Consider the following 19,400-nt stretch of genomic DNA (forward strand, 5'->3'; position numbering starts at 1 on the left):
AACCCAACGCTCTTACCACAGCTCTAGTGGTTTCCAAGCATCGCTGTATCACTGTGCATAACCCTCTGTGGGGGGTGGGAGATGGGGAGGTGTCGGGTACAAAATCCAGATTCCTGGGCTCTGCTCTGGAGATTCTGAACTGGAGGAATCAATTGGGTGGGGGTCAGGAATCAGTTTCTTTCTCTTTTTCCTTTTTTTTTTTTTTTTTTGAGATGGAGTTTCGCTCGTTGCCCAGGCTGGAGTGCAATGGAGCAATCTCGGCTCACCACAACCTCCGCCTCCCGGGTTCAAGCGATTCTCCTGCCTCAGCCTCCCGAGTAGCTGGGATTACGGGCATGCACCACCACGCCCGGCTAATTTTGTATTTTTAGGAGAGACAGGGTTTCTCCATGTTAGTCAGGCTGGTCTTGAACTCCCGACCTCAGGTGATCCGCCCTCCTCGGCCTCCCAAAATGCTGGATTACAGGCGTGAGCCACCGCGCCTGTCCAGGAATCAGTTTTTTCCAACAAGTTTTTGGACTCCACTTTGAGAAATCCTGACCTGCACTATGCCTGAAACACTCCAAAGGGGGTGCTGATCTGGAGACAGATCTGTCCTGGGACCTGTTTCAGCCCTGTCAGCTCCTGGTGGCTGAGTTGAAGGGTGTGGCCCAGAAGGCAGGGCAGAGCTAGCTTCTGGGTTCCTTCAGCCCCTGCAAGGTTTGGGACTCTGTCCACAGGTCCAGACCCAGTACTTATTATGAACTGTTGGGGGTGCATCCTGGTGCCAGCACTGAGGAAGTTAAACGAGCTTTCTTCTCCAAGTCCAAAGAGGTACCCGTACCCCTGAGGTGGGGAGGGGGAGCAGGAACTTTGAGCCAGTGGGGGTGTGCTTCAAATTCCCAGGAGTAGACCAGCATCTCTGGCGGGTGCCACATTTTTTCAGCCCTCATAGGGAGTGGCAGGTGCTCAATGGTAGGGGAAAGGCTGTGGGCAGGAGCCAGGGGTCCTGTCTGATGGGCTGGGCTTGGTTTTCTTGACCTGCCTGCCTGCTCTTGAGAAACCTGGACCAGGGCATATGGTGAATGCAGGGGGCTGGCAGGTGGGGAGGGCTTGAACACAGGAGGAAGCAGGAGTCCATGCTCTCTGGCCTTCTGAGGAGTGGGCAGGCCTGAGTGAGGGTCACTGACCAGGCAGGGCCTCTGGGTATGACTGGAGCCCTGGTGGGTGGATGTCATCAGCATGGGTCCTGGGGAGGGACAGGCAAAGGGAGATAAGGGGAGTCCTGCCCCACCCCAGCTGCACCCAGACCGGGACCCTGGGAACCCAAGCCTGCACAGCCGCTTTGTGGAGCTGAGCGAGGCATACCGTGTGCTCAGCCGTGAGCAGAGCCGCCGCAGCTATGATGACCAGCTCCGCTCAGGTAGTCCCCCAAAGTCTCCACGAACCACAGTCCATGACAAGTCTGCCCACCAAACACACAGGTACAGTAATCCTGCCCTCAGCTTGCCCCACCCCCAGGTCTCTTGGGTAGTCTCATTTCCACAATGTCCCTTCCTCTGCCTCCCAGCAGCTCCTGGACACCCCCCAACGCACAGTACTGGTCCCAGTTTCACAGCGTGAGGCCACAGGGGCCCCAGTTGAGGCAGCAGCAACACAAACAAAACAAACAAGTGCTGGGGTACTGCCTCCTCCTCATGCTGGCGGGCATGGGCCTGCACTACATTGCCTTCAGGTGATGCCTGTTCTCCCCGGGGTGATGGGCAGAGGGCAGGAGGGTGGGTGAATTCCAGTGTGGTCAGCCAGTCCTCCACAGCACCTCGTGGCCCGTACTCTTGTGTCTCTCAAGCTAAGAGCTGCTTGAAGTTGGTCTCTGGAGCCTCTCCTTACTTATTAAAGGCAGCGCTGCACCAAGAGCTAACGTTGTCATTTACAGTTTTTCATATTTCGAATGTAAATCTTTCATGCTGGCTGCCAGGAAGGGATTGAGCCAAACAAAATCAAGCACAAGCAGCAAATGCAGCACAGCTCATTCATTTGGCAGTAGGCATCTCCCTGCCACTCTCACGCGTGCCACGGAGCTGATTCTCTTTATTCTCTTTTTTTCTTTTTTTTTTCTTTGAGATGGAGTCTCACTCTGTTGCCCAGGCTGCAGTGCAGTGGCGCAATCTCGGCTCACTGCAACCCCACCTCTGCCTCCCAGGTTCAAGCAATTCTTCTGTCTCAGCCTCCCGAGTAGCTGGGACTACAGGCGTCCACCACCACACCCGGCTAGTTGTTTTGTATTTTTAGTAGAGATGGGGTTTCACCATATTGGCCAGGCTGGTCTCAAACTCCTGACCTCAGGTGATCCACCCGCCTCAGCCTCCCAAAGTACTGGGATTACAGGTGAGAGCTACCGCGCCTGGCCACAAAGCCGATTTTCTATAGCAGATACCTAAAGGCCAGTGCCCACTGCTAGCAGCCTGCCTAGTTCAGTGATGGAGTTAGACGCATACCCTTTCTAGTCTTCTGGGAGGAGCACCCCCATGTCCACAGCTGCTGTCACACCTCAAAGTGACCAGGGACTTCGGATGCCATTGGACCCTAGACAAGCCAGGGCCACTCTGAGCCCTCCCTATCTATCACAGGAAGGGTTAGACTGAGGTTCCTAACCCTGTGTAAGGGTAAAAAGCTGTGAGGCCCCTAGAGTGGGGTGGAAGGGGGCAGGACTTCAGGGACAGCAGGAATTGGATTCCCAGGGTTAATTGTGACCCATTGCAGGAAGGTGAAGCAGATGCACCTTAACTTCATGGATGAAAAGGATCGGATCATCACAGCCTTCTACAACGAAGCCCGGGCACGGGCCAGGTCTGTCCCTGCTCTATTCTGCTCCCTGCTCCCTGTCCAGGAACCACACTTCGGGATCCCTATCCCAACCACCCAGGTGCCCTCTCCTCCAGGGCCAACAGAGGCATCCTTCAGCAGGAGCGACAACGGCTAGGGCAGCGGCAGCCGCCACCATCCGAGCCAACCCAAGGCCCCGAGATCGTGCCCCGGGGCGCCGGCCCCTGAGGGGCTCACCTGGATGGGGCCTGCAGTGCGTTCCCGCTTTGCTTCCTTCCCTGGACGGCCCGCTCCCCGAAACGCGCGCAATAAAGTGATTCGCAGAGCTCGTGTCCGGCTCCCTCCTTAAGGCCCGACGCCCCCGGCCCCGGCCTCGCCAAGGGGCAGCGCCCCGCCCTCCGGGTAGTGGCGGCGGCGACTGGGGAGCCCAGCCTCCTGGGCGGTGCGTCCCCTTTCCCCTGCCGCGGCGGGAGGCGGGAGGGGGTGTGTGGAGGAGGCGGGCCCCGCCGACGGCCTCGCCCCCCCACCCCGCCGCCCCGCCCCCGCCCCACGGGCCGGTGGGGAGCGCGTGTCTGGGTCACATGAGCCGCCTGCCCGCCAGCCCGGGCCCAGCCCCCCGCCGCCCCCGCCGTCCCCGCCGCCGCTGCCCGCCGCCACCGGCCGCCCGCCCGCCCGGCTCCTCCGGCCGCCTCCGCTGCGCTGCGCTGCGCTGCCTGCACCCAGGGCTCGGGAGGGGGCCGCGGAGGAGTCGCCCCCCGCGCCCGGCCCCCGCCCGCCGCGCCCGGGCCCGCGCCATGGGGCTCTGGCTGTCGCCGCCCCCCGCGCCGCCGGGCTAGGGCGATGCGGGCGCCCCCGGCGGGCGGCCCCGGCGGGCACCATGAGCCCTCTGCTCCGCCGCCTGCTGCTCGCCGCACTCCTGCAGCTGGCCCCCGCCCAGGTACGTGCGGCCCGACAGCGCGCCCGCCCGCCCGCCGTGCCCTCTCTCAAGGTTGGCGGAAGTGAGGAGGCGACCCGCGGCCTCGGCCGAGGGGATCTGCGGGGTCCGGCCTTGGACGCGGGCGTCTCGGGGGCCCGGCGCGTGCATCCCCTGGGAGGTGCCCCTCCCCGCTGGCCCGCCAGCCCCAGTCTGGGGCCACTCCTCCGCCCCACCCCGTCCCCTGGGCACCGCCGGGGGCGGGGCTCCCTCGGTGCCTGCAGGACCTGCTTCGGTGGGCACTGTGCGCGCTCCTGATCTGCATGCAGCCCCCAAACATGCTCGGCTCCGCGGCCTGGAGATTTGGCGCGGCCACCAGAGCACCTGTTGCGTTTTGGGCCAGGGCAGGTCCCGGGTGGCCAGGAGAGGACAGGTAAAGCTAGAGCAGTGGCCGCAGGAACAGAGCAATCTGGAAAGATGTCAGAGAGGTGGTGAAGCCTACTGATGCAAGGGCAAAGCCCCAGGGACGGTGACAGGGCCACACCCTCCTAAAGTGTACCTTGGGTACAGGTCTTTTCTCTCCCACAGGCCCCTGTCTCCCAGCCTGATGCCCCTGGCCACCAGAGGAAAGGTAATACTTACAAAAACTCGGCACTAGCCAGCACTAAGAGGGTTTGTCATGGGCCCTGATTCCAGGTGTCCATCATCTTGTGTAACTCCCCTAGAAGATTCAAACTATTATTCTACCCATTTCACAGAGGAGGAAATTGAGGCAGTGGGGTTACTGGGATCTGGATAAACAGGGCAGGGGAAGACAGGTTGTGAGGGCAGAGTGGGGAGGGCTAGTGGAGGGTGGCTGTGACTTGGGGACTGGGGAGGACAGATGCTGGGAGCAGCTGCAGGAAAACCAGTGAGGACTTAACCCCTACCGGTCTGCTCCCAGTGGTGTCATGGATAGATGTGTATACTCGCGCTACCTGCCAGCCCCGGGAGGTGGTGGTGCCCTTGACTGTGGAGCTCATGGGCACCGTGGCCAAACAGCTGGTGCCCAGCTGCGTGACTGTGCAGCGCTGTGGTGGCTGCTGCCCTGACGATGGCCTGGAGTGTGTGCCCACTGGGCAGCACCAAGTCCGGATGCAGGTACTGGGCAGGTGGGGCAACGGGCAGGGGATGCAGGTACTGGGCAGGTGGGGCAGCGGGCAGGGTGGATGCTGGCTGGCTCTGGGGCTGGGGCAGCCTGGAGACTGATGCACAGGAGACAGGGTTGGGGGGAGGGCTGGTGGCCAGCCTCCCGGCTGTTGGGTGAGCTTTTCTCCCTTCAGTCTTAGAGCATCCCCTTTCTCTCTCTCCCTCACTGTCCCCCCTGTTCTTCTCCTGAGCACAGATCCTCATGATCCGGTACCCGAGCAGTCAGCTGGGGGAGATGTCCCTGGAAGAACACAGCCAGTGTGAATGCAGGTGCCAGCCAGGCCCAACTTCTGAGCTCGCAGAGGCCAGGCTTGGGGGGTGCTGGGTATGGTGGTCCACAGAACTGGGGACCAGGTTCCTAAGAGTAGAACCAAGGGGCCGGGCGTGGTAGCTCACGCCTGTAATCCCAGCACTTTGGGAGGCCGAGGCGGGCGGATCATGAGGTCAGGAGATCGAGACCATCCTGGCTAACATGGTAAAAACCTGTCTCTACTAAAAAAATACAAAAAATTAGCCGGGCGTGGTGGCGGGCACCTGTAGTCCCAGCTACTCCGGAGGCTGAGGCAGGAGAATGGCATGAACCTGGGAGGCGTAGCTTGCAGTGAGCCAAGATCGTGCCACTGCATTCCAGCCTGGGCGACAGAGCAAGACTCTGCCACAAAAAAAAAAAAAAAAAAAAAAAAAAAAGAGTAGAGCCAAGGGTAGGCCTTGGATCTGGGGCAACAAAGTAGGATGCTTGGGCCGGGGGTAGTGGCTCACACCTATAATCCCAGCACTTTGGGAGGCCCAGGCAGGCAGATCACCTGAGGTAAGGCGTTTGAGACCAGCCTGGCCAACATGGTGAAACCCCATCTCTACTAAAAAAAAATACAAAAATTAGCCGCGCATGGTGGCAGGTGCCTGTAATCCCAGCTACTTGGGAGGCTGAGACAAGAGAATAGCTTGAACCTGGGAGGCGGAGGTTGCAGTGAGCCGAGACCACGCCACTGCACTCCAGCCTGGGCAAGAAGAGGGAAACACAGTCTCAAAGAGAGAGAGAGAGAGAGAGAGAGAGAGAGAGAGAGAGTAGGATGCTGGGATTTCCTGATCTTCCTCTTGTTTGTCTGTGTCTGTCTATCTTACTTTTCAGACCTAAAAAAAAGGACAGTGCTGTGAAGCCAGACAGGTGAGTCTTTTGGACTCCAGCTGAGTAGGGGTATGGGGAGTACAAGTGAGTCCAGAAGCTGTTGCTCCTCTTTCTCCTCCCACCCGTCCCCCACTTTCCCTTTTCCTCTGCTCCCCAAGCCTGTGTTCTCTGCCCCGACCCCAGCTCTAGGGAAGACTCTTCCTTCCCACCCCAGACATGTCGCTTCTCCTCCCTAGGGCTGCCACTCCCCACCACCGTCCCCAGCCCCGTTCTGTTCCGGGCTGGGACTCTGCCCCCGGAGCACCCTCCCCAGCTGACATCACCCATCCCACTCCAGCCCCAGGCCCCTCTGCCCACGCTGCACCCAGCACCACCAGCGCCCTGACCCCCGGACCTGCCGCTGCCGCTGCCGACGCCGCAGCTTCCTCCGTTGCCAAGGGCGGGGCTTAGAGCTCAACCCAGACACCTGCAGGTGAGGCGTCTGTGGGGTGGTGTTTGTTTGGGAAGGCACCAAGGCCCTGTCCTGGAGCAGGTCCAGGGTGAGCCTGCCAGTAGGAGGAGGGCCAGGGAAGGGGAAACTGTTGAATGTGTTGAACAAATATTTACCAAACAGCTGCTGGCACCTGGAGCTGTATAAGCAAGTCCAACATTCTAACTCAGGAGTCAGATACAGGAGGGACAATGCCAGCAGAGGATGTCAAGGGCTGTGGTGAGGGGTACCTGGCCTCGTCTTTCAGAGGTCAGAGATCTCTTGGAGGAGGTGACATCTGCCCGGAGTAGAAATGTAGGACACAGCTTTTCCAGCTTGCAGTTCGGGCCTTCCCAGAAGCCCCTGTGGTAGACATCTGCCCTTACCTACGGGCTTCAAGAGGCCAGGGGACATAGTGGAACCCTTGTCCACCCTTACCTGATGTGTTTCTCACCATCCGTGTCCCGCAGTGAGGCCATGGGGTGAAATCATATGGGCAGGGCCAGTGGGGGCTCCCGAGGAGTGTCAGGAGGGGATGACCTTTGCAAAAGGTTCATCCTTCGCCCTGCAGCCTCCAGTGCCCAGGGCCGAGTGGTGTGGCAGGATGCTCAGGTTGTGATCTTAGTGGGCCCGAGGCACACATGAGTCCAGGGCTGGGGCTGCGCTCCAGCCAGCATGAACAGATCACTTCCTCCCTCCTCAGGTGCCGGAAGCTGCGAAGGTGACACATGGCTTTTCAGACTCAGCAGGGTGACTTGCCTCAGAGGCTATATCCCAGTGGGGGAACAAAGAGGAGCCTGGTAAAAAACAGCCAAGCCCCCAAGACCTCAGCCCAGGCAGAAGCTGCTCTAGGACCTGGGCCTCTCAGAGGGCTCTTCTGCCATCCCTTGTCTCCCTGAGGCCATCATCAAACAGGACAGAGTTGGAAGAGGAGACTGGGAGGCAGCAAGAGGGGTCACATACCAGCTCAGGGGAGAATGGAGTACTGTCTCAGTTTCTAACCACTCTGTGCAAGTAAGCATCTTACAACTGGCTCTTCCTCCCCTCACTAAGAAGACCCAAACCTCTGCATAATGGGATTTGGGCTTTGGTACAAGAACTGTGACCCCCAACCCTGATAAAAGAGATGGAAGGAGCTGTCCCTGCCTGTGTCACTGTTTGTCACTGTCCAGGCTGGCTGGTTTGGGCATGAATGTCTGCATCACTAAATCCAGAGCTTGTCTTGCTCCCTCATTGTGCAGATGGAGGAAATGAGGACTAAGGCCCCACAGCAGATCCCAGGCAGGGCCAGAATTATGTATTCATCACTTTCAAGTTATTGCCACGCATGGGAGTCAGGGATAGCCCAGTCAATACAGACTGCCTGCCCTCCTGCTCTTCACCAGGGTTCTTTTCTAGAAGGAGACAGCCTTCTGTGGCCAGAGAGCTTGGGGTAGGACCCAGATCTACTGAGTGACCTTGCTTGTCACTACCCCTGCCTCTCTGAGCAGCAGTTTCCACATGTGCACATAGAGGGAACAGAAGATTGCTGTGGTTGGCGTCCTCGGGCCCCAGAGAAGTTTGAGACTATCTTTACGTAATAGAAAAGAACACTTGTTCTTCCTGCCAGGCAGCGCTTTCAGCATCTGCTGCTTTTTGTTCCCTGCAGCTTGAATCTAAAGCCTCAGCACCTGCCCTGTCTTAACTTCACTCCCACCTCCCTGAAAGGGAAGCACCGCAAGTCTGGGGCTGGTGGGCCTGGTTTGGGCGGCAGGCTCCCCTCAACCCAACCCACAGTTTTTTGTTTTTTTTTTTGTTTTTGGACAGAGTCTCACTCTGTCACCCAGGCTGGAGTGCAATGGCACAATCTCCACTCACTGCAACCTCCATCTCCTGGGTTCAAGCGATTCTCCTGCCTCAGTCTCCCAAGTAGCTAGGATTACAGGTGCCCACCACCATGCCCAGCTAATTTTTGCATTTTTAGTAGAGACGGGTTTCACCATGTTGGCCAGGCTGGTCTCGAACTCCTGACCTTGGGTGAACCACCTGCCTCAGCCTCCCAAAGTGCTGAGATTAGAGGCGTGAGCCACCGCGCCCGCCCAACCCACACAGTTTTCTCCACCCTCGCCTCCCTTGCATCCTGCAGCTTCCTTCATCATCAGTTGCTGCCTGAGATTCTCCTGACTTGTCTATCCTAGCCCAAGCCCAGCCCCTACCCTTCTCCCTGCAGCCTCCAGTGCCCAGGGCTGAGTGGTTTGGGGTGGATGAAAGGCCAACCTTGGGCACCACTGCTTTGCCTGCTGAAGCAGGACATTCAGGGGCAGAGTTAACTCAATTGGGCAGCCACTGGGAGGGGCAGCCACCCTAATGGAGGCTTTCTCTGAGGTGTTGGGTCAGAGCATGTGGGTATGATCTTAGTGGGCCTAAGGCAGGAGTGGGTTGAACCAGGAGACAATTCCTGACAGCGATTACTACTTTCAAATCATTTTCTCAGTCATGATGTCACTGGACATGCCATAGGTCAATTAGCATGAGGCAGAAAGGGGTTAGGGCCCCAGAGCTACCGCCTCCAGAGCCCAGTTAGCCCCACCAGTCACGCACAATGCTTCACATGCACCTCCTCACTTTCTCCTCGCTCGATTCTGAGGTCAGCATCATGATTGTCTTCCTTTTACAATTGAGGAAATAGGCTCAGAAAGGCTAACTGGCCGGGGGGATTTGACCTCAACTCAGCTGTCTCCCTAACCTTCAACCTAGGTTTAGCTGCCTCTCAACTGCAGGTTCATTACTTCAGTTGACAGATGTTTGGTGGCTGCTGGGGCGCCTGAAAATAAGTCTGGTGGGGGAACAGGCCCAGCCAGATCATTCCAGTCATGAGTCACAGCCCAGGTGCACAGGTAGAGGTAAGCCTGGCTCCTGGGAGAGAGATGTGGGCAGGAGCATTGGCTGGAAGCCAGGGCTTGTCATTGGACATCATCTCGGTCCTGCAGGGGCCCTGTGGGGTGGGTGTCATCAAGCCCGTGTTACACGCCTGTATTGGATGACAAATTCTACCAAGCACACAGCCGACCGGGAGTTCAAACGTGAGTGTCACTGTGAAGCCCAGGCTCCACAGCGACTGAGGGCCGTGGGCCATGATGAGGCCCGGGAAAACAGGAGTGCTGTGGGAGAGGCTGGGGGCGACTTGAAATGGCGCCTCAAGACCCCCTCCGGGAACCCACGCCCGCCTGACCTTACTATCACCTCGGCCGGAAGTGTCTCCGGCCTTTTCGGAAGTCACTTTCACCTAACCTTACAGACTACCGCTCCGCCGGAAGTGACGCAGGGCAGCGGCGTCGCGGGGGCGGGGCTCGGGAAAGACCCGTGCCAGCGGGCGTGTGGCCGCGGGTTTCGCACGGTCCAATAAGGGAGGGCGGCGTGGCCCGGCCTGGTAGCGACGAGGACGCGCCTGCGCAGAGGCGGCAGCACCACCGGGGTTGACTCCGGGGGCGCGGCGAGGAGGTGAGCGGGGGCCACAGCCCGGGCTGGGGGGAGCCGGGGTGCAAGAGGGCAGGCTGGATCAGGCCGGGCAGAAGCGGACCGGGCTCCGAGTGTCAACGAGAGCTAGGTGACGAGGAAATTGGGGGTGGGGGCCGGAGCTGTCCGGAGATGCCGCAGGGGGAGGGTTCTCACGCCGCACGGGGCGGAGTCCTGGGACTCGGGGCGGGACGTGGAACCGGGACGGGTGGGACCTCCGAGCTGGTGCCAGTGGAAGGCGGAGCCCGGCGGCGGGGGGCGGAGCTAGGAGGGTCGGGGGACGGAGCCTGGCTCTTGAAGGAGGAGCTGGAGGAGGTGAAAGGCGGAGCCTCGGGGTCGGAAGCAGAGGGGGACGGAGCGGAGGCGCTGGGGGCGGGGCTTCAGCCGGTGAGTGGCGTGGCTACGGCTCCGGAAAAGGGGTCTAGTTCTGTCGAAGGCGGGGCTGCAGGCCCGGGGGCGGTACCGCGTCCTCCGAAGGGCGGTGCCAAGGAGCCAAGTGAGGAGCCTGGCCCGAGTAATGGCCCCGGGCGTCCTCGCGGGGGTGGTCTCCGTGGTGGCCGGGCTTGGGGACGCCGTAGGCCGAGAACTCCACCGGGAGAGGTGGTGTGGGTGGAGCGGGCTCGGCGGCCAGCAGACACAGGGCCAGTCTGGGTGCCCCGGAGACCCCCAAGGGCTCAGAGTTGGGGCGGCGCCCCGGGCGGAAGCACAGGGCCAGGCTGGGGGGTATCTCCCGAGGACCCGGGCTCCTCGGAGCCACCCAGTGGGGATGTGTGGGTGCCTCGGGGCCGGCCCCCTGCAGCGGCCGCAGAGGTGTTGGTGTGCTGGACCGGGGGCAGCTGGGTGTGGCGTGAGTGGGGCCGCCCAGTCGGGGCAACTGCAGTGCAGCCAGATAGGGTCTGGACTTTGCGTAAAGGGACAGGCGGGAACTGAAGAGCGGAGGTGGGGACTGGGAGGGAGGGAAGGTATGGGGGTGAGCAAAGGGGCGGGTCCCTGGCTGCTGTGGCCTCCCCTGACCCCCTCCCCCCGCTGCTGGGGTCCTCGGCCAAGCCCCCTTCTCACTGGACTGGTAAGTGTGGCCCCGGAGCCCGGGGGAGAGGGCGGTGACCCGGGACAAAGGGGATCCCCCGGGGCAAGGAAGATACAGTGGCGGTGGAACCCTCCTGTTACCTACCCGTGTTCCATACTCTCCCTGCCCTCCCCCACGTTCAGTCGGTCGGTCGGGGTCTGTGCCCACAGAGACATGAGGCTGAGCTGGTTCCGGGTCCTGACAGTACTGTCCATCTGCCTGAGCGCCGTGGCCACGGCCACGGGGGCCGAGGGCAAAAGGAAGCTGCAGATCGGGGTCAAGAAGCGGGTGGACCACTGTCCCATCAAATCGCGCAAAGGGGATGTCCTGCACATGCACTACACGGTGAGTGGGTTGGGCGGGCCTTTTGGGAGTGGGTGGGGCTTCCGAGGACCAGAGAGTGCTTGGGAGTCTGGTTCTCCATAAGCCAGGTAGGTGACCTTGGGCAAGTCCCCTCTCGCCTCTAAGCCAGTTTCCATGGTTCTGCCTTGCCCTTGCCTACTGCCCAGGTGGGCACCAGCAGGCAGTGACAGTGTACTGTGAGCTGCCCAAGGCTCTGTCCTCTTAAAGAACTATGACCAGCTGGGCGCAGTGGCTCACCCCTGTAATCCCAGCACTTTGGGAGGCCGAGGCGGGTGGATCACCTGAGGTCAGGAATTTGAGACCAGTTTGGCCTCATGATGAAACTTTCTCTGCTAAAAATACAAAATTAGCCAGGCGTGGTGGCGGGCGCCTATAATCCCAGCTACTTGGGAGGCTGAGGTGGAAGAATTGCTTGAACCCGGGAGGCAGAGGCTGCAGGGAGGCGAGATCACGCCGCTGCACTCCAGCCATGGCAACAGAGACTCCATCTCAAAAAACAAAAAGGACTGACCACCAGGGCTGTGGGTGGGCGTGGGGGGGCAGCTTGATGGGGAAAGCAGCTGAGGGAGGGGGTGTCAGGGGTGGTCCCCTCTTCCTCACTGGCCTTCTCATGGTTCCACAGGGGAAGCTGGAAGATGGGACAGAGTTTGACAGCAGCCTGCCCCAGAACCAGCCCTTTGTCTTCTCCCTTGGCACAGGCCAGGTCATCAAGGGCTGGGACCAGGGGCTGCTGGGGTGAGTCATGGGGGAATGGGCTTGGGAGTGGGGGCGTGCATGGCCACCGCCCAGGAGGTAAGCTGTGGGAGGCAAGCCCCAGGGATACAAGACAAGGGCCCTGGGTGCTGCCATGGGCTGAGCATGTGTCTTCCTGCAGGATGTGTGAGGGGGAAAAGCGCAAGCTGGTGATCCCATCCGAGCTAGGTAAGAGGCCCCTCCTGAGGGTGCAGAGCGAGTTTGGGGTGTGTGACTGGGAAGGGTGAAAGCTGCTTCAGCTTTTCATTGGTCTTCACCGTATCCATTCATTACAATACATGCCTCCTCCAAGTTTGGCTGTGTCTAGCAGTGAGTACAGGGCAAGATCATTGAAGCACTCAGCTGTAGTGGCCCCACTCTGCCCTTGCCAGGCCTTTGGCACCCCCTTCCCATCTCCATTACCCTTCTCCATTTCTGGCCTTCTTGCTGAGAGGGGCGGAACACTCTCCCTTTGCCCACACTGGAAGGGAGCTTGGCCATCACTGACTGTTTCTTTGTGCATCTTCAACAGGGTATGGAGAGCGGGGAGCTCCCCCAAAGATTCCAGGTAGTAAACCTTTTGATACCTCCCATCACCTGCAGCCAGCCCACCTCCCTGTGGCCCTGGTTGGCATTTTGACTCCCCTTCTCCCCTACAGGTGGTGCAACCCTGGTGTTCGAGGTGGAGCTGCTCAAAATAGAGCGACGAACTGAGCTGTAACCAGACTGGGGAGGGGCAGGGGGAGAGGCCCCCATCAGGGACCAGACTGTTCCAAAAAAAAAACAAAAAACAAAAACAAACAAAAAAACACTTAAAAGCCCAAGGAGTAAGCCTGTGTGTGTTTGTGGGCCCTGAGAGACTCAGAGACCTCAGCTCCAGCATACCCCACCACCTTCTCCTTTCCCGACTGTGGAGCCTTGGGGGTCTAGGCTCAATGACATGGTGGCCCTTGCCCAGAGAGAAAGGAGTGTTCCTGCCTGCCAACAGCAATACTGCTCCCCCCACCCCCACAGCTCCCCAGCCACTTTCAACTCCTGGTCTGGGAGCCAGCACTGGGCTATCGTCATGGCTACGTGGCCCTTAGGAAGGCCTGTGGTCACCTGGGGAGAAGCTGAGCTGGCAGAAGTCAAAGAGCAGTGTGCCCCCCTAAAAGAGACCAGCCGAGCCTGTTAGCTGCACCAAAGGCGTATCCTAGCTTTATTAAAGGGCCCGCGCCGCAGAGTCAATATAAAAACACAAAAAGTCCCATCAGTTTAATAACAATAAAAAACCCCAAAAGTGGAAAACTGAGGGGGCAGGGGAAGAGACCCCTGGGCCAGGGGCACGAGGAGCCCTGCTCATGGCACCAGGCCTGGCCGCAGGGTCCCCCGGTATTGCTGTTGCTACGAGGTTGGGGGGCAGCGATTGTCCTGTGGGAGCCACCGTTCTCCTGGGTCGGGGACCGTCACTTCTTCTGGGGTGTGCTCAGCTTCTGCATGCCCCGGATCTTGTCCAGCAGGCCAGAAATGAAGGCCTGGATGGGGTGGGAGGGTAAACATTAAGGAGACCAGACCCCAAGATGACAGGAGCCGGGCTCCCCTCACCCTGCCACCCCCGCCAGCCCCCCAGGAAATCTCTTACCTCTGTGGGTTTGTAACAGTCAACCAGCAGCTCCTAGCAGAGGATGGGGGAGGAAGGATAAGTGAGTCCTCAGGAGTGGGGGCCTGGAGCTCGCCTATACCCACTTCCAAGAGACTGGGGCCACCCTGAGGCACAGGAGATGCCACAACAACCTCACAGCTAGGCATTGGCCCCATTCTGTTGAGGCAGGAGCTGGGGCTTGAGGGCCTGGCTCCACAGCCTCACTTTCCCGGGGCAGTGCCTCAGGCAACCCATCGCCCCCCAGCCCCCTCACCTTGACCCTGGCAGCCCGGGCATCGTCACTCTCCATGTCCAGGAGCTCATCCACGTCAATCTCCAGTTCTGGGATCTCCTCTTCCTGGGGTGGGGGTGGGGGAGGAGGGAGAGACATAAGCCTGAGTTGGAGAGAGGGTGTGAGAGGGGCTCTGGGTTGAGGCCCCTGCCTACCTCGGAGGAACCCAGCCCTCTGCCCAGCAGACAGAACAGCAGCTGCTCTGGGGAGGAAAACAGATCAGGCCCGTGCCAAGGCAAACTGCCCAAAGCGGGGTGGGGGGGGGAGCTTCCTGTCCCTGCCAGTGGGCACGGGGGGTGACAGACAAGGCCAGACAGCCAGGGTTGGGGACCTTGGGCTGGGAACCCAGCAGATGTGTCTCCCCAACATCCGGGCCCCCCATCTCACCAGAGCACCGGTGGGTGCAGCTGTCCCAGCTTATCATACCCCCCTCCCCTCCCCCAAACACCTGTCACAGCTCCCCGGGAGTGAGGAGGAAGTGAAGGCTGAGGGGTCACTGGGAAGGACCCAGGCCTGGCAAAGAGGAAACAAAGAGCCCATGCTTTGGTGAGGGAGGGGATGCCCACCACCCTGCCACACCCTCCCCAGGAAGCCCCTATCCTGTTTGTAGTCAGCTGCATTCCAGGGCTGGGCTAGGGTAGGCAGGCAGCACCGGGCAAACCCACTCCTCCACCCTGCCCCCCGGGGCCTGAGTCACCGTCTGAACAACCAGGGAGTCATGGGGGTGGAGAAGCAGAGCCCAGAAAGCGGGCTAGCCTGCACGCACGCCAAGATGGAGCTCCAGGCTAGCCCACAGAACAGCCCAGCCGCAGCCGTCCTACCAGACCAGCACCTTGTAACCACAGTCTAACCCAGCGGGCACCAGGCGGTGAGACCTCCTGCCGCTGCCAGCCCAGGATAGCCCCCTTGCCTCTTGCCCAAGGCTCAGGCTACCCCTTGAGGCGTCTGGAGGACACTAGGCTTGACCTGGGGAGTGGCATGATGGGGGGCAGGGTCCGAGGCAACGGAGAAGGCAGAAGTGACTTAGGTCAGGCAAGAAAGAGTATATATTGGGGGCGGGAGTGCAGAGGGGAGGGGAGCGCGCGGGGAAGCAAAGCGCCCTTTGACTCCAGTGACAGGCGAGCTCACAGTGGAGCTGCCAGGCGGACCGGCGCGAGACCGATTTTGGGGTGTCGGCGCGGGGTGGGAACACACCTGGCAGTCGTAGAGGCGCGTGAGCTGCTCCAGGATCCACTCCTCTAGGTTGAGGCGCTTCCGTAGCTCCTTGCGGTCATACTTGACGGTGACCTTCCCTTGGCGCCTCACTGGGCCCTCATCGTCCGCCCCGCCCGGGCCCTCTCCTGCGGCCCCGGGGGGGCTCTGAAAGTAGACGCGTGGTCCTGGGCCGCCACTGCCCGGCCCGGGGGCCGGGGCCGCCAACGCCGCGCCCCCCGCGGTGCCGCTGTCCGCCATGGCGGCCGCCGGGGCCACGTGCGAGCGTCGGGCCCCTCCCTGCGCCACCGCCTCCGGGACGCCCGCCGGCTGGCTCGGGTTAGCTCGCCGGCTCCGCTCCGCGCGGCTCCGCGGCGAGGGCGGCGGCGGGGGCGCCCGGGGGCAGCTGCAGCATGCGGAGCCCCCGGGCTTGGCCTGGCCGCGCCCCGCCCCCTCCCCGCCGATCCGCCCGCCCTTTGTCCCCCGCGGCCGCCGCCCGAGCTGCAGCCGCCGAAGCGCTTTCTCTGTCTCGCTCTTCCTCCGCCCCCCGACCACACCCCCTTAAAGGGCCAGCCCCTCTACAGGCCCCTCTCCCCTACTCCGCCCCCGGGCAGGGGTAGGGGAGGGTCTATTCGGCAGGGGGTGGCCTAGCTGTCCGTACTCCCCAAACGCAACCTTCCAGTCCCAAACCCAGGCGTTCTAAGCGCTCAGGACGACGATTTGCGCTCACGCCAGGACCCTAGTCTTCATTGGACCCTTCCTCATTCTGTCCTCATTGAGGCCATCTGAGAATAGGGGCTATCTGAGAATGCAGGGGAGTGGACATCGTGTGCAGACAGGGAGTCTGGTGAGGAGACGCTGCGGTCCCCGATGTCCAGGTCCTCCAGCCCTCGGCCAGCGAGGAGCGAACGGGCTCCTCCGCACGGACCGACACGTGGACTGGGCTCCTGGGAAAGGAAGAGTGGAGAAGGCGGGCAGGAGCTGTCCGGGTCCCTAGACTCTCCGAGTAGCAGGTCCCACGCCCCCAGCGGAAGAAGCCGGGGCTGGGGGTGAGCGGTGGCACCCGGCCGGCCCAAACGGCCAACCCCGGGCAGCCACCGCCCACCGGCAAGATGGCGCGAGGCTCGGGCTTGTGGGAAACGGAGTCCGCTCCCGGCGCCGCCCCTCCCCCGCCCTGCGGCCAGGCCGGGAAGCGCAAAGTTGTTTGGGGCGTCCTCTGCGCCTCGCGACCCGAGTGCGCACAGAGGGGGAAACTAAGGCGCAAAGAGCTGGGCAGTGCGGGGGCCGCGACTTATAATAATAAAGGCGGTAATTGCGGCTGACCCTAGGAGCGTGCGTCGGGACCGCCGCCCAGTCGGCTCCGCAGAGAGGGCGCCGTGCCGGGGCTCCTGCACCCCCGCCCTGCGGCTCCTCGGTCCTTCACATAGCCCTGGCCCACCTCCAATAAGCCGACGGCGCATCCCATTCCCTCCCTCTATTTTATTTTCTGCATCTTTAAATGGTCTCATTCATTCGTGTATTGTCTGTCTCCCACTTCTAGATTGTGAGTGCCACGGGGCTGAGGCCTGCGCCGACCTGGTCTGCTGGTGCTACCAGGCTTGAACAGTCTTCAAATCCACTGCTATTAGGCAAATTACCTGGCTCCCGCTGAACTCCAGCACCTAGAACTATGTCACACTCGTAGTAGGCCGCTGCATTGGTTGAACAAATGATTTTGAAAGAATGAATGTCTTCCTCTGTGCCTGCATTTCCTCAGAAGGCTGTAACAAAGATTAAATAGGAAAATTCGTGGAAAGTTCAATTACTACACCACAGAGGTTAATTAAGTCGCACTGCTAGATAAAACGGGAGACGAGACTTTGAACCCAGGCTGTGTGGCTCAAACCCCCTGACACGAAGTCTCTACTCAACCTCCTCACTACCCTGTAGACACCACCCAATAAGGCTGCGCAGCTCCCGGGGGATGTTTCTGTGGAAGGCAGGCTCACCTTGTGCCACCCCAAACAGGGTCTTGGATCTGAGAGGCAATGTTTCTGCTCCAGCCCCTCAAAGACACTCTTTGGATGTTGTGGGGGGAAGCCCTCTGCAGCGGGTGGGGTTCAGAGATGGATTGGGATTGGCCCCGGGGTCACACAGCTGGGGCTGCATCCAAACTCCAACCCAGGATGTTGGGCTCCTCCTTTGCCCTATAGTCAGAGAGAAGAGACCAAGAGAAGACAGAGGCTGGGCATTGTGAAGGCAATGGGCTCACAGGGCTCAGTTCAGGGAAGGGTAGAGTGAGCTGACCCCTCCCCTTCCCGTGCCCCTCCTCCGGCCTCAGCCTCCCTTCAGCCAGTCTGGGTGCCGAGGAAGGGCTGACCCTCGCTCTTGCGGATTAGGTAGGATCCACCCTCTCCACCGGGAGCCCTATCCGTGGCCTGGCCTCCTGCCCTAAGCCTGGCCTGATAGGAGGATCACTTTACCCCAGTCCAAATTCCCCACCACACCCCACCAGGCCAGGCCAGCTCCCTCTGAACCCAAGCATTGTTTGTACCTTGAGGGTGCACACAGATTAAAGGGGGAAGACCCTCAAACAGCCCCTAATGCCCAACAGCTTCTGTGGAAGTGGGGCCTGCAGGCCATGAAGACCCCCAGCCCTAGCTCTGCCCCCAAGATGCTGTGACCCTGAGCCCTGACCTTTCTGTCTGTCCTCCCTCAGGGTTGGTGTGAAGGTCTCCAGCCATGTCCGTGTCCACAGGTCAGGCATTCTTTCTGACTCTCCCTCTTCCCCCCACCGCGCCATGCCCAGGCACACCCAGATTCCTGTCCAGTTCCCATGGCTATCCACCCGAGACCACTTGGTGCAGGTGGGCATGCTGGCCTGCCACCTTCTTGGAAGCTGGGCCACAGAACCTTAGCCTTGGAGTAGAAATACTGGGTTCAAATCCTGGCTCTGCCCCATGGGCTGAGAGGCTGTATGCAAGTCACTTACCTGCTCAGAGCCTCTTCAGGGGGCTTATGGTCCTGACCTCCTGTGGTTGGGGGCCCATGCCCAGCCCTGGCCCTCCTGCCTGAGCCCTACTGGGACTGGAGTGTACCACTGCTCCTCCTCCTTCTAGCCTCAGTCTGTGGCCTCCCCAGCCCTACCCCTTCCAGGGCCCCAGCCCCCCTCCATTAGAGTGCATCCTTGAAGCAGAGGCTCTGGGGAGGGTCCTGTGGGTCAAGACCGCTCCTTCAATCAAGGGTAGAGTCCGGAAAGGCTGCCTGCCTTCACCATTACTGCCTGCTGAGATACCCTATTACCATTACCAAGGATGGAAGAAAGTGTCTGGGAAGGAAGGAGCCCTGTAATGGGGGCTGCCCTGGCCTCCAGAGACACAGGGTTGGGGGAGGAGAGAGGCTTAAGCCCAGGAAACAGGTGCCCATCCTGTTTTTTTCCACAAGGAGCTGCTGCCCAATGCTTCTCTAAAGTACGCTTGCACAAGGCCTAGGGCCCACAGCTCAGATCCCCTAAGCTCAGGCCTTGGCTCCAGGCTTTGCTAGCCCTGGCACAAGCTGGAGGTTCCACTGCCCCAGAGCTGACCTATGCCCTTTCCTCCCTCCCTGGTATACCCACAGCTTCCAGCTACTCATGTCAATTTGGCATCTCCCACCCATTTGCTTATGTATACAACAACCTTTAGGTTCTGGACAAGGTGACTGAGGCACCTAGAGAGACTAGGTTCTGCCACTAGCAAGAGGCTGCTAGCAAGAGCCGGATTTGAACTCCAGCCTGTGAGGGCAGAGGCCAAGCTCCACCTTGCATGGTTCTGTTTTCCCAATGAGGTCTAGAGGCTCCTGGGCCTCAGGAAGTCGGAGGGTTGAAATCCTCCTAAGAAGCTGTGTGACCTTGGGCAAGTCCCTTCCCCTCTCTGGGCCTCAAGTGGAGATCATAATCACACCCCACAGGGCCAGGGCTGAGAGCGAGGAGATCCGCCAGGTTAGAGTTGATGGAGAACTTGGCGGGGTGTGGAGGAAGGCCAGGGCCAGGCAGGGCTCCTTGTGGAGGTCTCAGAGCCTGGGGCAAAGGGGCCTGCAGGGGAGCTCCTCCTTTGCTGACCCCTCCTCCCCCAGAGCCAGCTGCATCTCTTTCTGGGTTTCTAGGTGACTTGGCTGGCCCC

The 19,400-nt window shown here is 60.5% G+C and overlaps 5 protein-coding genes and 2 long non-coding RNA genes across 19 annotated transcripts in view, besides 14 other annotated features; 5 read left to right on the plus strand and 2 right to left on the minus strand.

The window, feature by feature from the left end:
• The window catches only part of LOC124902687 (uncharacterized), a 2,225-nt gene extending 2,006 nt beyond the window's left edge, over nt 1-219 (minus strand). Inside the window, exon 1 of the long non-coding RNA XR_007062713.1 lies at nt 17-219. This is a non-coding gene — a long non-coding RNA (uncharacterized LOC124902687). The remainder of the gene's footprint in view (nt 1-16) is intronic.
• The window catches only part of DNAJC4 (DnaJ heat shock protein family (Hsp40) member C4), a 3,850-nt gene extending 720 nt beyond the window's left edge, over nt 1-3,130 (plus strand). The window contains exons 2-6 of one of the 4 annotated variants that reach the window (XM_047426865.1): nt 720-813; nt 1,279-1,463; nt 1,550-1,714; nt 2,743-2,829; nt 2,922-3,130. In XM_047426865.1, the coding sequence (XP_047282821.1) occupies nt 720-813; nt 1,279-1,463; nt 1,550-1,714; nt 2,743-2,829; nt 2,922-3,033 (643 nt within the window). In that variant the 3' untranslated portion in view covers nt 3,034-3,130. Of the gene's footprint in view, nt 1-719; nt 814-1,278; nt 1,464-1,549; nt 1,715-2,742 lie in introns of all 4 variants that reach the window. The other 3 variants (NM_005528.4, NM_001307980.1, NM_001307981.1) reach the window with 3 other exon arrangements.
• Nucleotides 2,981-3,470: a silencer, noted in NCBI's record as "silent region_3466". NCBI's record gives its function as "represses an Ori minimal core promoter by ATAC-STARR-seq in GM12878 lymphoblastoid cells {active_cell/tissue: GM12878}" and the evidence as "EXISTENCE:reporter gene assay evidence [ECO:0000049][PMID:35858748]".
• On the plus strand, nt 3,433-8,113 carry VEGFB (vascular endothelial growth factor B). Of its 2 annotated transcripts, none has more exons than NM_003377.5 (7): nt 3,433-3,742; nt 4,307-4,349; nt 4,662-4,858; nt 5,103-5,176; nt 6,036-6,071; nt 6,269-6,504; nt 7,205-8,113. In NM_003377.5, the coding sequence occupies exons 1-6, from the start codon at nt 3,683-3,685 to the stop codon at nt 6,480-6,482; spliced, it is 624 nt and encodes a 207-aa protein (NP_003368.1). In that variant the 5' UTR covers nt 3,433-3,682; the 3' UTR covers nt 6,483-6,504; nt 7,205-8,113. The 2 variants fall into 2 exon arrangements, with proteins under 2 accessions (NP_003368.1, NP_001230662.1); NM_001243733.2 differs by having other exon boundaries at nt 6,370-6,504.
• Nucleotides 3,691-4,060: a silencer, noted in NCBI's record as "silent region_3467". NCBI's record gives its function as "represses an Ori minimal core promoter by ATAC-STARR-seq in GM12878 lymphoblastoid cells {active_cell/tissue: GM12878}" and the evidence as "EXISTENCE:reporter gene assay evidence [ECO:0000049][PMID:35858748]".
• Nucleotides 8,951-9,853: an enhancer, noted in NCBI's record as "H3K27ac hESC enhancer chr11:64007574-64008476 (GRCh37/hg19 assembly coordinates)". NCBI's record gives its function as "activates a minimal SCP1, AML or CMV promoter by ChIP-STARR-seq in naive H9 embryonic stem cells {active_cell/tissue: H9 hESC(naive)}" and the evidence as "EXISTENCE:reporter gene assay evidence [ECO:0000049][PMID:30033119]".
• Nucleotides 9,353-9,412: an enhancer, noted in NCBI's record as "active region_4890". NCBI's record gives its function as "activates an Ori minimal core promoter by ATAC-STARR-seq in GM12878 lymphoblastoid cells {active_cell/tissue: GM12878}" and the evidence as "EXISTENCE:reporter gene assay evidence [ECO:0000049][PMID:35858748]".
• Nucleotides 9,453-9,572: an enhancer, noted in NCBI's record as "active region_4891". NCBI's record gives its function as "activates an Ori minimal core promoter by ATAC-STARR-seq in GM12878 lymphoblastoid cells {active_cell/tissue: GM12878}" and the evidence as "EXISTENCE:reporter gene assay evidence [ECO:0000049][PMID:35858748]".
• Nucleotides 9,853-10,872: a silencer, noted in NCBI's record as "silent region_3468". NCBI's record gives its function as "represses an Ori minimal core promoter by ATAC-STARR-seq in GM12878 lymphoblastoid cells {active_cell/tissue: GM12878}" and the evidence as "EXISTENCE:reporter gene assay evidence [ECO:0000049][PMID:35858748]".
• Nucleotides 9,854-10,754: an enhancer, noted in NCBI's record as "H3K27ac hESC enhancer chr11:64008477-64009377 (GRCh37/hg19 assembly coordinates)". NCBI's record gives its function as "activates a minimal SCP1, AML or CMV promoter by ChIP-STARR-seq in primed H9 embryonic stem cells {active_cell/tissue: H9 hESC(primed)}" and the evidence as "EXISTENCE:reporter gene assay evidence [ECO:0000049][PMID:30033119]".
• On the plus strand, nt 9,944-12,981 carry LOC114841035 (uncharacterized). Its single transcript, NM_001370414.1, has 6 exons — nt 9,944-11,062; nt 11,233-11,407; nt 12,048-12,160; nt 12,300-12,346; nt 12,690-12,725; nt 12,817-12,981. Exon 1 carries the CDS (start codon nt 10,129-10,131, stop codon nt 10,924-10,926), a length of 798 nt encoding a protein of 265 aa, NP_001357343.1. The 5' UTR covers nt 9,944-10,128; the 3' UTR covers nt 10,927-11,062; nt 11,233-11,407; nt 12,048-12,160; nt 12,300-12,346; nt 12,690-12,725; nt 12,817-12,981.
• On the plus strand, nt 9,944-12,984 carry FKBP2 (FKBP prolyl isomerase 2). Of its 8 annotated transcripts, none has more exons than NM_001135208.2 (6): nt 9,944-10,087; nt 11,233-11,407; nt 12,048-12,160; nt 12,300-12,346; nt 12,690-12,725; nt 12,817-12,981. In NM_001135208.2, the coding sequence occupies exons 2-6, from the start codon at nt 11,237-11,239 to the stop codon at nt 12,876-12,878; spliced, it is 429 nt and encodes a 142-aa protein (NP_001128680.1). In that variant the 5' UTR covers nt 9,944-10,087; nt 11,233-11,236; the 3' UTR covers nt 12,879-12,981.
• Nucleotides 10,903-11,142: a silencer, noted in NCBI's record as "silent region_3469". NCBI's record gives its function as "represses an Ori minimal core promoter by ATAC-STARR-seq in GM12878 lymphoblastoid cells {active_cell/tissue: GM12878}" and the evidence as "EXISTENCE:reporter gene assay evidence [ECO:0000049][PMID:35858748]".
• Nucleotides 11,657-12,557: an enhancer, noted in NCBI's record as "H3K4me1 hESC enhancer chr11:64010280-64011180 (GRCh37/hg19 assembly coordinates)". NCBI's record gives its function as "activates a minimal SCP1, AML or CMV promoter by ChIP-STARR-seq in naive H9 embryonic stem cells {active_cell/tissue: H9 hESC(naive)}" and the evidence as "EXISTENCE:reporter gene assay evidence [ECO:0000049][PMID:30033119]".
• Nucleotides 12,985-13,327: 343 nt separating the features above from the next.
• On the minus strand, nt 13,328-15,792 carry PPP1R14B (protein phosphatase 1 regulatory inhibitor subunit 14B). The gene is made up of 4 exons (NM_138689.3): nt 15,265-15,792; nt 14,053-14,136; nt 13,779-13,811; nt 13,328-13,671 (listed from the first exon to the last, which is right to left on the minus strand). The coding sequence occupies exons 1-4, from the start codon at nt 15,520-15,522 to the stop codon at nt 13,603-13,605; spliced, it is 444 nt and encodes a 147-aa protein (NP_619634.1). The 5' UTR covers nt 15,523-15,792; the 3' UTR covers nt 13,328-13,602.
• PPP1R14B-AS1 (PPP1R14B antisense RNA 1) lies at nt 14,715-17,063 on the plus strand. Of its 2 annotated transcripts, none has more exons than NR_135087.1 (2): nt 14,715-14,938; nt 16,802-17,063. It is a non-coding gene; the product is annotated as a PPP1R14B antisense RNA 1 (long non-coding RNA). The 2 variants fall into 2 exon arrangements; NR_135086.1 differs by lacking the exon at nt 14,715-14,938 and adding an exon at nt 15,903-16,108.
• Nucleotides 15,466-15,645: a silencer, noted in NCBI's record as "silent region_3470". NCBI's record gives its function as "represses an Ori minimal core promoter by ATAC-STARR-seq in GM12878 lymphoblastoid cells {active_cell/tissue: GM12878}" and the evidence as "EXISTENCE:reporter gene assay evidence [ECO:0000049][PMID:35858748]".
• Nucleotides 16,366-16,505: a silencer, noted in NCBI's record as "silent region_3471". NCBI's record gives its function as "represses an Ori minimal core promoter by ATAC-STARR-seq in GM12878 lymphoblastoid cells {active_cell/tissue: GM12878}" and the evidence as "EXISTENCE:reporter gene assay evidence [ECO:0000049][PMID:35858748]".
• Nucleotides 17,230-17,877: an enhancer, noted in NCBI's record as "H3K27ac-H3K4me1 hESC enhancer chr11:64015853-64016500 (GRCh37/hg19 assembly coordinates)". NCBI's record gives its function as "activates a minimal SCP1, AML or CMV promoter by ChIP-STARR-seq in primed H9 embryonic stem cells {active_cell/tissue: H9 hESC(primed)}" and the evidence as "EXISTENCE:reporter gene assay evidence [ECO:0000049][PMID:30033119]".
• Nucleotides 17,878-18,523: an enhancer, noted in NCBI's record as "NANOG-H3K27ac-H3K4me1 hESC enhancer chr11:64016501-64017146 (GRCh37/hg19 assembly coordinates)". NCBI's record gives its function as "activates a minimal SCP1, AML or CMV promoter by ChIP-STARR-seq in naive and primed H9 embryonic stem cells {active_cell/tissue: H9 hESC(naive and primed)}" and the evidence as "EXISTENCE:reporter gene assay evidence [ECO:0000049][PMID:30033119]".
• Nucleotides 18,524-19,171: an enhancer, noted in NCBI's record as "NANOG-H3K27ac-H3K4me1 hESC enhancer chr11:64017147-64017794 (GRCh37/hg19 assembly coordinates)". NCBI's record gives its function as "activates a minimal SCP1, AML or CMV promoter by ChIP-STARR-seq in naive and primed H9 embryonic stem cells {active_cell/tissue: H9 hESC(naive and primed)}" and the evidence as "EXISTENCE:reporter gene assay evidence [ECO:0000049][PMID:30033119]".

This window comes from Homo sapiens, chromosome 11 (assembly GCF_000001405.40).
Source record: "Homo sapiens chromosome 11, GRCh38.p14 Primary Assembly".
Lineage (NCBI taxonomy): Eukaryota > Metazoa > Chordata > Mammalia > Primates > Hominidae > Homo > Homo sapiens.